Source organism: Homo sapiens, chromosome 8, assembly GCF_000001405.40.
Source record: "Homo sapiens chromosome 8, GRCh38.p14 Primary Assembly".
NCBI classification, from domain to species: domain Eukaryota; kingdom Metazoa; phylum Chordata; class Mammalia; order Primates; family Hominidae; genus Homo; species Homo sapiens.
The window spans coordinates 10,700,602-10,714,062 of NC_000008.11; the positions used below are offsets into that span (position 1 = coordinate 10,700,602).

At 50.1% G+C, this 13,461-nt stretch overlaps 4 annotated features.

The window, feature by feature from the left end:
• Window positions 9,590-10,357: an enhancer, noted in NCBI's record as "H3K27ac-H3K4me1 hESC enhancer chr8:10567701-10568468 (GRCh37/hg19 assembly coordinates)". NCBI's record gives its function as "activates a minimal SCP1, AML or CMV promoter by ChIP-STARR-seq in primed H9 embryonic stem cells {active_cell/tissue: H9 hESC(primed)}" and the evidence as "EXISTENCE:reporter gene assay evidence [ECO:0000049][PMID:30033119]".
• Window positions 10,358-11,125: an enhancer, noted in NCBI's record as "H3K27ac-H3K4me1 hESC enhancer chr8:10568469-10569236 (GRCh37/hg19 assembly coordinates)". NCBI's record gives its function as "activates a minimal SCP1, AML or CMV promoter by ChIP-STARR-seq in primed H9 embryonic stem cells {active_cell/tissue: H9 hESC(primed)}" and the evidence as "EXISTENCE:reporter gene assay evidence [ECO:0000049][PMID:30033119]".
• Window positions 10,391-10,520: an enhancer, noted in NCBI's record as "active region_26994". NCBI's record gives its function as "activates an Ori minimal core promoter by ATAC-STARR-seq in GM12878 lymphoblastoid cells {active_cell/tissue: GM12878}" and the evidence as "EXISTENCE:reporter gene assay evidence [ECO:0000049][PMID:35858748]".
• Window positions 10,601-10,700: an enhancer, noted in NCBI's record as "active region_26995". NCBI's record gives its function as "activates an Ori minimal core promoter by ATAC-STARR-seq in GM12878 lymphoblastoid cells {active_cell/tissue: GM12878}" and the evidence as "EXISTENCE:reporter gene assay evidence [ECO:0000049][PMID:35858748]".

Sequence of the window (13,461 nt, forward strand, 5' to 3'; positions counted from 1 at the left end):
GGTCTCTGTCTTGGAAACTACCTGCTACCACCTAAAATCCAATCCAAATTATTTCCTCTGAGTGACAAGAGATGGCTGTGGACCTCTGCTAAGCACAGAGCTTTGCTCTGGGGGTACTTTTCACATGCTGACAAGCCTGAGCTCCGCTGAAGATGGAGCCACCCATGGGGGCAAGCCAGTAAGAGTGAGGGTGCCCCACACACCAGCAAAGCCCTCTGCGGAATCCCATGCCATGTAAGGAGAATGTATCCTAGGATTCTTCCTCCTGACATTTCCACCACAGGCTTCATTGCATGCAGTCCAGCCCGCAGGTCTCCCACAAGAGGACCCAGAGCCATGTGCCCTCTAGAAAACTCTTCCTCCCAGGAGCATCTGCACTGTCTGGACTCAGGCAGGGGGCAGGTGCTGTCCCAGAGGTCGGAGACCTGGCCTGGAGCCCGCTTTGCTGTGGATCTGCTGTGTGATGCTGCCTGTGTCCCTTTCATCTCTGGGCCCCAGCTCTCTATCTTGTCGAGTAGAGGTGCTGTGGGATGGTGTCTCTGGTCCTCTCTCACTAAGACGTCCTAGGAGAAAGACAAGGTGAGGTTTGCTATTCCCATGTGTCAAGGGTTTCAAGGTTCAAGGAGGAAAATAACCTACTCGAAGTCACACAGCAGAGAGCAGAAGCCTCCTGCTTCCGTGCTGTTTCCCAGGGGCGTCATGCCTCTCATGCAAATAGCGGCACACGTCCTGGAGCTGTTGGTTTGACAGGTGACTGTGGCCCTCAAAATCAGAACAGTGAGGGGGTCACCATGTACTGCCTCTTCCCAAGCCCGAGACTGCCCCTGCCCTGCTCTGCCATCTGCCTGCTGCACCCCTTGTGCCCAATAAGGCAGGCTCATGTCATTAGCTCATCCCGCCTATCTCTCCTTTGCCACCTACTTTCTAGTTTGTGCCACCTGAGGTGTGCCTGGTGTCTGTGTTTCCAGGCAGAGTCAGCTGCCTTAGGGGGTTGGGGGACTTAGCGAGGGTGCCCTGCAGAAGGAGCAGAGCAGTCCTCTGCAGCCCTGGCAGAGAAGTCCAGGACACAGGACCCCCCAGCAGGTGAGGCAGCCTTGCTGGGAGCTGTACCTGAGACTCTCCTCCCATCTCACCCTGATGCCATGGCCAGGTGTGTTGATCCCCAAGAAACTTGATGTACTGCCTAATACCTCTTGGGACAGAGGAAGGAGGTTCAGGGAGTTTCTTAAATTTTTTATTTCTTCCTTCCTCTTTCATTCCATAAACACTTGTGAACAACTATATCTACTGTATGGATGAAACCATTATGGTCCTGAGGGAAGTGTGAGAGCTGCCATCGGATTCTGTCTAGGGCCTCACCAGGGTCCCAGAAACCCTCACAGCCAGCGTGGATGGGTGTACTCACATGTGCGTGTGGGAGCTGGTGGAGGGGCAAGTGGGTACAGCTTCTACCCAAGCCACGTGCCAGAGACCCACTCCTTGCTAACTTCCACATGACTTCCATGACTATTTGGTGGCATTTGTTCAAGGATAAGCAGAGGAGGCCTGGCGGCCTGGCATCATCTGAGGGGCAAGGTTGGAGGAGAGGACAGGCCCAGCTGGATCTCGAGGCCTTCCAAACCCACAAGTGAATGAAGTGGCCTTGGGAAGAATTGCATTTCAGGTGATGGAGTCCTGAGCCAGTGTGAGAAGCCGCCCTCCTCCCTCAGCCCCCACTGGCATCTGCAGGAGTCCCGGGTGTGGTGCATGGTAGACATATATTTTCTGTGTAGCTGAGCTGTATTTATGAAGGGGTCGGGAGGAGTTGGGAGAGTCACAGGGCCAGAAATGTGGAGGGAAGCCACAGCAGCGAGTGGAGGAAAGGTCTCGGGCCTCGGGCCTCATCCTCTGTGGAAGTCAAAACTGGGCTTTCTGTCTCAAGCTAAGAATAGCAAATGGGTGGTCCCACGGGAAAACTCCTCCCTCCCACCCACCTGAGGCAGCAGCAGGGAGCACCGTCTTACAGCAGACACTGGGTAGACACCAAGACAACGGTGGGACAGTGGACTTCCCACCCATGCCCCCTACTCATGCAAGGCCTAAACTCTCACACCACCCAGAAGTGGAGACCCCAAACTGAGAAACTGTCCTCAAATCCATCTGAAACCGGAATACCTGCTAGAGCCTGTGGATAAAGGGACCATACATTCTGCATTCTCTGGGTCTGTCCTGGGTGACTCCTGTTATCCCAGTGTTGGGCCTGCTTTGGCGTGCACCCCAGCTTTGCATTGTTTAGTGGAGTTCGCTGAAGACTTGCTCTAAAAGAAGCTGGGGGAGGTAGGTAGCTCCCCACCTTTGCTTCAGCTCCTGCCATGACTGCATGTCATGGTGTGGGACTCTCCTGGTGCGTAGGCACATGGGGTGTGTGGTGAGCAAGTTCTCACCTACACTTGAGGCTGCAACTGGAAGAGGCAGAGCGCTGACCTGCCTCTCCCTCCCAATACTCTCCTGACTCAGTGGAACCCTTCAAAAACAGCGCCCGGGCCATTCCTGAGGCACTGAAATGCAGGCAGACATGAGTAACTGAGGAGAGCCAGCTCTTCCCGTGGTGGTAGTGCTGAGAGAAGGACGCGGCACCTCTGCTCCCACCAACTGCTCAGTGCCTCAGCCACTTGCACAACCACAAGATGCATGAAGCCACCAGGCTCTGGGGTCAGTGGGAAAAGTGAGAGAGACAAGCCAGGCACATAGGCAGTATGTCCAGGAGCTGGGAGGAAGAAGAGTTCACGGAGGGGAGTCCCCATGGCCTTGCTGCATTGACTTTGCCACTTACCACGTGCTACAAAGCTACAGCGATTTAGTTATCTTATTGTTTGCCACTGCATTTTCATTTTTCAATAAACCCTTTTGGTAGCAATGAACTCAACAAAAAAGGAAAGTGCCTGAGTAATGAAAATGTAAATATAATGACTTTCTCTTTTTTAAGAAAGTTAATGACGAAACTGTAACATGCACAAAGTTGTTCTCTGCATCTACCATCTGCCAGGAACCACAGCAATGCCACTGACTACCGAGAAATCTGCTCAAAAAGCGTCAGCAGCTACCTCAAAGGTTCATAGGAACTTTGAGAAGCCTATCCAGGCCAGGCGTGGTGGCTCGTGCCTGTAATCCTAGCAGTTAGGGAGGCCGAGGCGGGTGGATCACCTGAGGTCAGGAGTTCGAGATCAACCTGGCCAACATGGCAAAACCCTGTCTCTACTAAAAATACAAAAATTAGCCAGGCTTGATGGAGCGTGCCTGTAGTCCCAGCTTCTCAGGAGGCTGAGGCAGGAGAATCGCTTGAGGCCGGGAGGTGGAGGTTGCAGTGAGCCAAGATTGCACCACTGCACGCCAGTGCCTGGGTGACAGAGCAAGACACCACCTAAAAAAAAAAAAAAAAAAAAAAATGTAGAAGAAGCCTGTCCAGAATCTGGAATCCACAATTTAACATGCACAGGGGCAACTGAGCAGGTGGCAGTTTAAAATCGAGCTTGCTCTGTATTCTAAGTTTTCTTATATGCAAGCTGAAAATAAAGCAGTGGTCATTCACTGGATAGCATCTCAGTAGAATTTCACATAACATATGGTGAAACAACGCCAGTTTTAGCGTCACCAGATGCATCGATTGAAACATCAATCAATTCCAATAATGGTTCAGTTTATTCATCCAATTCTGGCAAAGTAAAGCTTTTGAGAATTCATTCTGGTGCAGATGAAACACCTCTCACTACTGCAAATACTATTTGAACTTCACTTAAGAAGTTCAACATTAAAAAGTACTCATTTTTAAGATGATTACACAAATATAAATGTTTGTAGATCTTAGCACCTTTGTCAAAGCAATGGTCTCACTAGTGTTTATAAACAACAGAACCTAAGGCCAGAAATGTATTTAGAATTGGCTCTTGGGCATACATTAAGTCATAACTGCACTCAGAGTATCAGAAACTGGAAGTGAGGATGGAGAGGGATGGAGAAGGCGCTGGGCGACCTGAAAGGGCAGAGTCAGGCTCCTTCTGTCAAGACACTGAGGCTCACACACAGTTGATGTTCATTTCACAAACATTAATTGACCAATTATCTGTACCAGAGGCTGTCAGGCACGGAGGACCCGGCGGTAAACAAGCCAGACAAGGTCCTTGCTTTTGAGGAGCTCACGTTTTAATGCAGGACACTAACAAGCAATTGAACATAAGCAGTACTTGGGAACAGGGATGGGTGCTGTGAAGTCCAGAAGCAGGTATCTAACTCAAGTAACTCTGGAGTGTCAGAAACCTCACTGTCAACGCTATTCCACAGACATGTAGAAAGTGCCTACTGCATGTCGGATACTGGGATGGGTCACATATGTAAGGACACAGAAAAGACACATCAGTGCCCTAAAGGAGTGGGGGCAGCCTGGTGTTTCTGATGCGGGCTCCCGGTCACAGTGCGTCCCCTGGCCACGGGGTGAGCCTTTCCCCAAGTGGACCAATCATCGTGCTCCACTGCCCTGGGCCACAGTGATTGGAGCAGACATGGGCACATGGCCCAAGCTGGACCAATCAAAGTATCCCATCCTCAACCCACCCACCACACCCCCAGCCAGGATGAGTGATTCTGGGGGGTTTCTTTCTACAGCTGCTGGGGTTCTCTTCCTTTTGGTTTTGAAGCTCTAAGGATTGCAGGAGGCCAGAGCAGCCTGTAGCTGTGATACCAGCGTTGAGAGAAAGAAGCCAACAGGCAAAGGGAAGCAAAAGAGAGGAGAGATTGATTGAGAGATTGCTTCCTTAATCCAGTAACCCTGGAGGCAGCTCCACCCGTCTTCCAGCGTTTGGTTGTGGGAGCCGATGCGCACATACCCAGTATTTGACTGAGGTCAGTGAGACAGGCAGGGCAGAGAATGCTTCAACCATGACAGACAAGGAAACTGAGGCTCAGACAGATGGAAGGATTGCTCAAGGTCACTTGACTAACAGTGGGAGAACCCCAGACAGAAGCACATTTTTTACCCCCAGATGAGGGCTCTTGCCCCATCCACTGCCTCCAAGGACACAGGCCCTGGGCAAGTCCGTCACCCTGCCCACCTGTGTAATGGCCCCTGGGTACGAGCTACCCTTTTGTTCTGGACTCCGAGGGAGACCACAGTGTCCACTCTTGGATGGAAAGCTATTCCGGACTCAGAAGCAGAACTTCTTCTCTGAGAACTTGCACACGAAAAGTCAAATGAGGAATTTGAGCAAAACAAAACAGAAGTTAACCATCCTTATAGTGCCCTCTTCAGAAAATGCCTGCCCCAACAGCAATGTCCTCTGACTTGGCTCAGGAGGGCATTGGCCTTACTAAAATGCACTGAGTCCGACTCTCACCCATGAACATTTCATCATCAGCGTGCCTCATGGTGTTGCTTAAGATGTGTCCCCCAAAGAACTCAGAGGGCTTTCTGGTGCTTCCTGTTAAGTGCTTTTCTACCTACTCAAAAGGCTGAGAGAATACATGTTTTTCCCAGGGCCCAGATTTTTGAAATGAGAACCAAGGTAACCCTGTGTCCTTCCTGCTTAATATTCTAAGAACATGGCTCCCAGCACCTGGGAACTGAAACATAGGTTTCTAAACCTAATCCAAACCTCCAATACCATGAGGCTGTGTTATCCAGGCCCCAAAATTTCAGAAGTGTTTCTCAGGAGGCTGGCTTTGCTGTGGGTTTCAGGTTTCCAACAGAATCTGGAAATTCACCTCCCTTGACCCACAAAGTTGAGGAAGTGGCACTGCCCAGGGCTTCTCAAGTCAGCCGGCCTGAGTGTATTTTTCCCGAGGACTCCAAATGCCTCAGATGTTGATGTGAATGGGTTTAGACTAGACAGGTAGACGAAGGCTTTGGAACTTTTCTGGCAAAAGAACAGAGCTCTAGGTAAAAGTTGGCTGGCGCTGCCCAGGACTCTGCAGGAAGCACTAACCAGCGAGTGGCAACTGCCTCCAGGACAGTACCAGCCAGGCGTCATGGGTGTCCTGGGGATACTCACATTCAGACTCTGAATGTGGCGGTGGGAACTCACTGCCCAGAAGGAACCCCTGCCTTCAGACTCAGCCAGTTATAGCCAGGTGGCTTCATGTGCAGAGCAGAAACCTGAGTCTGCAAGGTCTTCAAAGGTCCCTGTCACCCCCAACCCCTCTGTGAGTCACCTCCTACCTTCTTGGCCTCACCTCTGATTCCAGCCAAGGTCAGAGAAAACTGTTCCACATAGGTTCCTCCCACTGCATATGGCCAGCACTCATCTCAAGTCTATGCCAAATGTCTGCTGCTTCCTCTCCTGTGACTTCTTTGATGTCATAGCATGGGGCACCATCAGGAGCCAACATGGCGTCTTCTCCTGCACATCCTGGGGGTGCAGGGAGCTTAGCATTCCATAGAATGACCCAGCCAATGGGAGGTGGGAGCCCGTGACCAACTGCTCCTCCCTTTCTCCCTCAGGGGGACATTTTTTTTTTTTTTAATACAAGGTGTTGCTCTATTGCCCAGGCTGGAGTGCACTGGCACGAGATCACAGCTCACTGCAGCCTCGACCTCCCAGGACTTAAGCTATCCTCCCAGCTCAGCCTCCCAAGTAGCTGGGACTACAGCCTTGATTTTCCCTATATGTGCCTGCTTGGCAGCCATGTGGCTGCTTGGGCTTCCATAAAACATGGCAGTTGGGTTCTAAGAAGGAGGAAACAAAAGCTGACAGTTCTCTGAAAAGGGGAACTGTGTCTGCAGCCAGGGGTTCCTTCTGGACACTGAGTTCCCACCTCCCAGCTAATTTTTTGCATTTTTTTGTAAATACAGGGTCTCACTTTGTTGCCCAGGCTGGTCTCAAGTTCCTGGGCTCAAGTGATCCTCCTGCCTCAGCCTTCTAGAGTGCTGGGATTACAAGTATGAGCTACCACACCCCACTAGGGGTACAATTCTGAGCTATAGCTCTATGTTCCTCGAAAGGTCCCAGAGAGACCAAGTCCCAGTCAATCACAGTGGTGGACCACTCAGGGATACTACACCTCATATCAGCTTTTCCTTCTTCTCTTTCTGTCTTTGGTCCTCATTCCTGCTACTGCTGGATCACTTCCCAAAGAAACCCCACACTATAAGTAAACCTGTGTCGGGTTCTGTTTTTGAGGAGAAACCTAGGCTAAGACACGGGACTTCATCTTTGTGTTCCCATATGCCAGCATGAGCTCTGTCTGTGTTAGTTACTTATTGCTGCATACCAAACTATCCTAGAACTCGGTGGCTTTAAACAACAATCACAGTCAGGCATGGTGGCTCATTCCTGCAATCCCAGCACTTTGGGAGGCCAAGGCAGGTGGACCACCTGAGGTCAGGAGTTCGAGACCAGCCTGGTCAACATGATGAAACCCTGTCTCTATTAAAAATATAAGAATTTGCTGGGTGTGGTGGTATGTGCCTGTAATCCCAGCTACTCAGGAGCCTGAGGCAGGAGAATCACTTGAACCCAGGAGGCAGAGGTTGCAGTGAGCAAGATGGTGCTACTGCACTCCAGCCTGGGCAACAAGAGTGAAACTCCATCTCAAAAAATAATAATAATAAATAAAACAACAATCACAATTTTGCAATTTGGGCAGGGTTCATGTGAACAGCTCATTTCTGCTCTACATGCCATCAGCTAGGGCAGCCCAAAGGGGGCTGAAAGACCCACTTCCAAGATAGTTGGCCTCTGTGGTGGCAAGTTGATGCTGGTTGTTGACAGAGACTGTTGATGGGGAGCCTTGATTCCCTCCCACATGGACCTCTCCATGTGGCTGCCTGGGGCTTCCTCACAACATGGCAGTTGGGTTCTAAGAAGGAGGAAACGGAAGCTGACAGTTTCCTGAAAAGGGTCAGAACAGGCAGAGCATCACTTCAAAGCAGTTTAAGGCCTGGCCCAGAGGAAAGAGGGTAGGAAAATAAGACACACCTCTCAGCTCAGGGAGTGACAAGCCATTTTCAGCCATTCTTAACCTGCCACAATGGCACAGAACACTACATTAAGGAAGACTTGAATAAACAACTAAGTAGAGAAATCAATTAATTAATGCAACCAGCCATTACTCAACGGTAACCTTCCCTCAACCCAAATAGTCACTACTACTCTCCCTGAAATTTTAGAATAAAATATTAATTTGATAACTTATTTGAGACTAGAAGGTTTTGTGACCTCGGGGTCCTAAAATATTAGAGCTTTGGAATCCTAGGGGTAACCCACCTCAGCCACCTCTGGCTGAGGAAAAGGAAAACGGGAAGAAGAGGATTTGTCCAAAGTCACTGTCTTGGTTATTGGCAGTGCAGGTTGCAACACAGGGTCTGGATTCCCACCCAGGTCCCCCATGTCACACCTCAATGCAAGCTTAAGGCATGTGAAGACTGCGGCCTTTCCCATAGGAAACTCAACCTCCTGGGTTCCTCGTGAATCTTCATCCCCCAAAATGCCACACTCCAAACTGTTGTAAGCAGTTTTTGAAAACTTTTCAGAAACTGGGCACAGAAGGGACCCTATAAACAGGGTGAGGCTGTCAACGTGGAAAAGGAGCTCAGACTCGGGTCCAAAAATGCCGCTGGGTGGCACTGCCCACTTCATGCAGGCCAAAGGCTGGCCTGCTTTGGTGCCAGTCATGGGCCAGTCGACCACACTGACCTGGCCAATCACACTGATCCAGTCAATCACACTGACCCAGTCAATCACACTGACCTGGTCGATCACACTAATCCAGTCGATCACACTGATCTAGTAAATCACACTGACCTGGTCAATCATATTGATCCAGGTGATCACACTGACCCAGTCAAGCACACTCATTGAGTCAAACACACTGACCCAGTCAATCACACTCATTCAGTCAAACACACTGACCCAATCACACTGATCCAGTCGATCACACTGACCCAGTGAATCACACTAACAGTCAAACACACTGACCCGGTCGATCTTACTGATGCAGTTGATCACACTGATCTGGTCAATTGCACTGATCCAGTCATTCACCCTGATCCAGTCAATCACATTGATCCAGTCATTCACACTGATCCAGTCAATCACATTGATCTAATTGATTACACTGGCCCAGTTGATCACACTGGCCCCATCATTCACACTGATCCAGTCAATCACACAGACCTGGTCAATCACACAGATCCAGTTGATCACATGGATCCAGTTGATCACGCTCTTCCAGTTGATCATGCAGACCCAGTCGATCACACTGACTTTGTCATTCACACTAATCCAGTCGATTATGCAGACCTGGTCAATCACACAGTTCCATTCGATCACACTGACCCGGTTGATCACACTGATCTAGTTGATCACATTGACCTGGTCATTCACACTGATCCAGTCATTTTCAATGGTCCAGCCATTCACAGTGACCCAGTTGGTCACATTGGCTGTCACATTGATAGTGGGCAGCTTCCACATTTCATGAGCATTTGTGGAAGCCCTGGAATGCGTGAGGCACAGAGGAGGATACAAAATAATATAATGAAAGCAGTCTCTCTCTTGATATTGAGTATCTACCATGGGTCAGGCATTTCATTTCATTATCCTCATTTTATGGATAAGAACTGGGTAATTTCTGTTGTTCCCTAGATACTAAGTAACTGGTTGGAGTTTACCCCAGGCCCGGCAGACCTAACCATCCACTCCTTTCCCTAAATCACCCTGCACACTGATCAATGTTCTACTCTTCTAGGAGTTTGATCAAGTCCAGAGGCCAAAATATCCCACACTCAATCCATAAGGAGATCATTCCCCCCAACAAAGAGGCAGAACCCCATCACAGAAGAGTCAGGACTTGGGGACAGGGGGCCTGGGAGGGAGGCTGGGCAGGGCCAACCCTGAATTAAGCAGAGGCTGACTGCAGAAGGAGATTGGAAGGTAGTTAAAGGCAGTGGTCAGAGACACGTTGCCGGGGGTAGCCAGGGGAAGCCATGGGTTCCAGAATTTCTGTGTAAGGGGGCAATTGGGGAGCTTCTGTGCACCAAGTTCAAAATCGGAACTCAGAGACCTGTCTCAAAGCTGCCTTTGCCCAGCGCGCCCTACTGTCTTTTCGCCACGTGCTTACCAAGGTGTCACATGCCCTCTACCAAGCCTGTCTTGGTGCCAACAATCATTAATGGGGGAATGCAGCCAAGGGCCCTGAATGTGAGGCTGAGACTCCGAGCTCCGGTCCAGTTGGTAGGAAGCCTCTGAGATTCCAAGATGGGCAATGACAGGACAAAGCAGGAGGAAAAGTGCCCATTTATGGAGCAAGCACTTGCTTTGAGTCATTTGACCACAGTGTGAAAGTCATTGCACCTCTCCACTGGGTGAGGGGGTCTCAGGATCCCAATTCCTCCAAATGAGGAAGCCGGGGCTCAGGGGAATGCAGTGACTCATGTGGGTCTCAGCTAACAAGGTGGAGGAGCTGCGCACTGGGCCTAGGTCGCTCCCCTTTGAATCGCACTTCCCTTCCCCTCAGCAGTGAGCTGGATGGGGCTCCACCTTGGGGCATAGGAACCAGGAAGACCACATGCTGCAGGGCCACAATCCAGCTGGACAGGAGAGACACACTTAGGAAAATGCCCACCACAAGCCTCCTGTGCAGTTTCTAGCAAAGGGAGGCATCTCCAGGCCAGGGGCACCCCGGGGCCTTTGCCCCTCCTCCCCAGGAAGACAGGTTTCCGCCCTGAGCAAGACGGCACACGTCAGAGGCTGAGGCCAACCCGGGGCCAGTTCCCAGCACTCGGGGTAGCTGGGGCCAAGCTGCTGACTCACTCTGTAACCCTCAGACAAGTCACTTCCCTCCTGGGTACCCAGCATGGAATTGAAAGTGGGCATCCCTATGTCCCAGGCTGCCAGAGAGGCCTTTCCAACCAGGGCTGACTGGCTGGGTGGGGAGGGGATCGGATGATTGTGAGCAGAATGGGAAACATGTTCTTTGGAAACGGATATTCAATGGAATAACAGAACTTAACATTTAGAAAGTGAGCAGTGGCTCAAGCCTGTAATCCCAGTACTTTGGGAGGCTGTTTGAGTCCAGGAGTTCAAGACCTGGGTCTGAGCAACATAGCAAGACTCCGTCTCTACAAAAAATTAAAAAATTAGCCAGGTATGGTGGCACACACCTGTAGTCCCACCTACTCAAGAGGCTGAGGTAGGAAGATCGCTTGAGCCTGGGAGGTCGAGGCTGCAGTGAGCCAAGATGGCGCCACTGCACTCCAGCCTGGGTGACAAGAGCGAGACCTTCTGTATTGGTCAGGGTTCTCTCTCTCTCCTCTCTCTCTCTCTTTCTCTCTCTATCTCTCTCTCTCTATATATAAATGTAAGAGTTTATTAAGTATTAACTCACACAATCACAAGGTCCCCAACAGGCTGTCTGCAGGCTGAGGAGTAAGGAGAGGCAGTCCGAGTCCCAAAACTGAAGAACTTGGAGTCCGATGTTTGAGGGCAGGAAGCATCCAGCACGGGAGAAAGATGTAGGCTGGGGGGCTAGGCCCATCTCTCCTTTTCACGTTTCTCTGCCTGCTTTATATGTGCTGGCAGCTGATTAGATGGTGCCCACCAGATTAAGGATGGATCTGCCTTCCCCAGCCCACTGACTCAAATGTTCATCTCCTTTGGCAACACCCTCACAGACACACCCAGGAACAATACTTTGTATCCTTCAATCCATCAAGTTGACATTCAATATAACCATCACACCCTCTCACCTCAAAAAAAAAAAAAAAAAAAAAAAAAAGCAAGTAAGTTTCCAAAACAATGCAAACCCAACATTCTAAAAGAAAGTTATTTACATGAGCACACACATCTGGAAAAAAAAATCTAGAAGCAGTACAACAAGATACTGACAAAAGATGCCTTTGCACAGTGAGACGATAGGGGAATCTCCCGCTGCACGCTTTCTCTTCGTTGTGTCTCTGTACTTACAAGTCTCCTACGTGTACCTACACGACATGTTTAAAATAAAAGGTTTGTAATTGGGCTTGGAAGAATAACTGACCGAAGGGCCACTTTACTTCCAGAGAGAACTTAGCACCCTTATTACTATAGAGTGAGCAGCCTACTCCTTACTGAGATAAATCCTAACATGAATCATCAGTGTCAGCCCCACCAGGACCTGTCCCAATGGGGTCAACAGGAGAGCCAGATTTTGTGAAGTGTGTGTGTGTCCATATGTGTCACATATTTTCTTCCTAATCACACACTTTGGTGAGGACAGTGTTACAAATAGCATTCCTGACTGATGGAAAGGGTGGGGTACGGACACAGCCCAGGAAGTGGCAGGGATCCAGTGAAGAATTAAACTTTTCCAGGGATCATCGAGAGTCAATTGTATTAGGAATTAACATCTCACCCTCGGCCCTCTCCTAAGCCATTCCTGTTGCTTCTATCACCGTAATCTGAAACCTCTTGGCCAAAAGCAGGACCAATTTACAGACAGAAAAATTGAGCCACAGAGAAATGAAACAAATGGTCTAAGATCACAGGCTGAGCAGAGGGTGGACCAGTCAGTGTTTGCACCCTGGGTAGCTATTCAACCCTCCAACAAGCATTGATTGGACACCTACTATGTGCCTGGCAGGCCCCATGGCGTGAAAGATATATAAAATGCCTTTCCCAGATAAATACATTTCCAGACTAGTGGGAGGAGACAGACTTAAAAACAGAGCTTGCATCATGACACTGTGAGAGCTATGTGAGAGGCTTGTGAGAAGGTACAGAAAATGGGCCTGCAAACTACATGGCTGGGGACCGGGCGTGGGTAGGCTTGAGTGGGTGGAGGGCTGTTGCAAAGGCTCTTTGAGAGGGGGAACACTGTGCTGGGTCCTGAGACCGGAGCAGGAACCCACGGAGAAAAGGTGTGGGGAAAGGTATTCCAGAGGGAACAGCTTATGCAAAAGCACTGGGGTATGAGGCAACATATCCTATTTGGAAATTGGCCATGCCTGGAACACACAGTGTGTCATCGGGACTGCATAAGGTGACGAGGGCCAGGTAAGTTGGGACTGGATTATAAAAGGCCTTGAATGTCCCCCTGTGAAGTTTAAGCTTTATCTTATTGGCAGGATTGGACAGATAAAACTTTTTAAGTAAAAAGGAAACGTCGTTAGATCTTTTGGAAGCATCATCTCTCTAGCCGGATGGGACAGGGGAGACTCAGGGTCATAGCCAGTGAGTGATGGGGTGACAGTCTAGGGCGGACAGTCATGTTAGGATTCAAAGCATGGAATTTGGGAGTCCATGGGGCACCGAGCCCCTGCCTCCCACAGGAGACCAGCAGCAGCCTCACACCAGGCCCAGCCTGGCAGGGAGGGCGCTCCTGAGTGCCAGGGTTACATGAGGATCCACAAGGTTGGGCTCAGATGACAGCGGCCTCTTGCCCCATCCCGTCCAGTCCAACACCCAGGGTGGAGGGGTGGAGGGATCGGGTGATGTGGGCAAGGCAGGGCAGAGT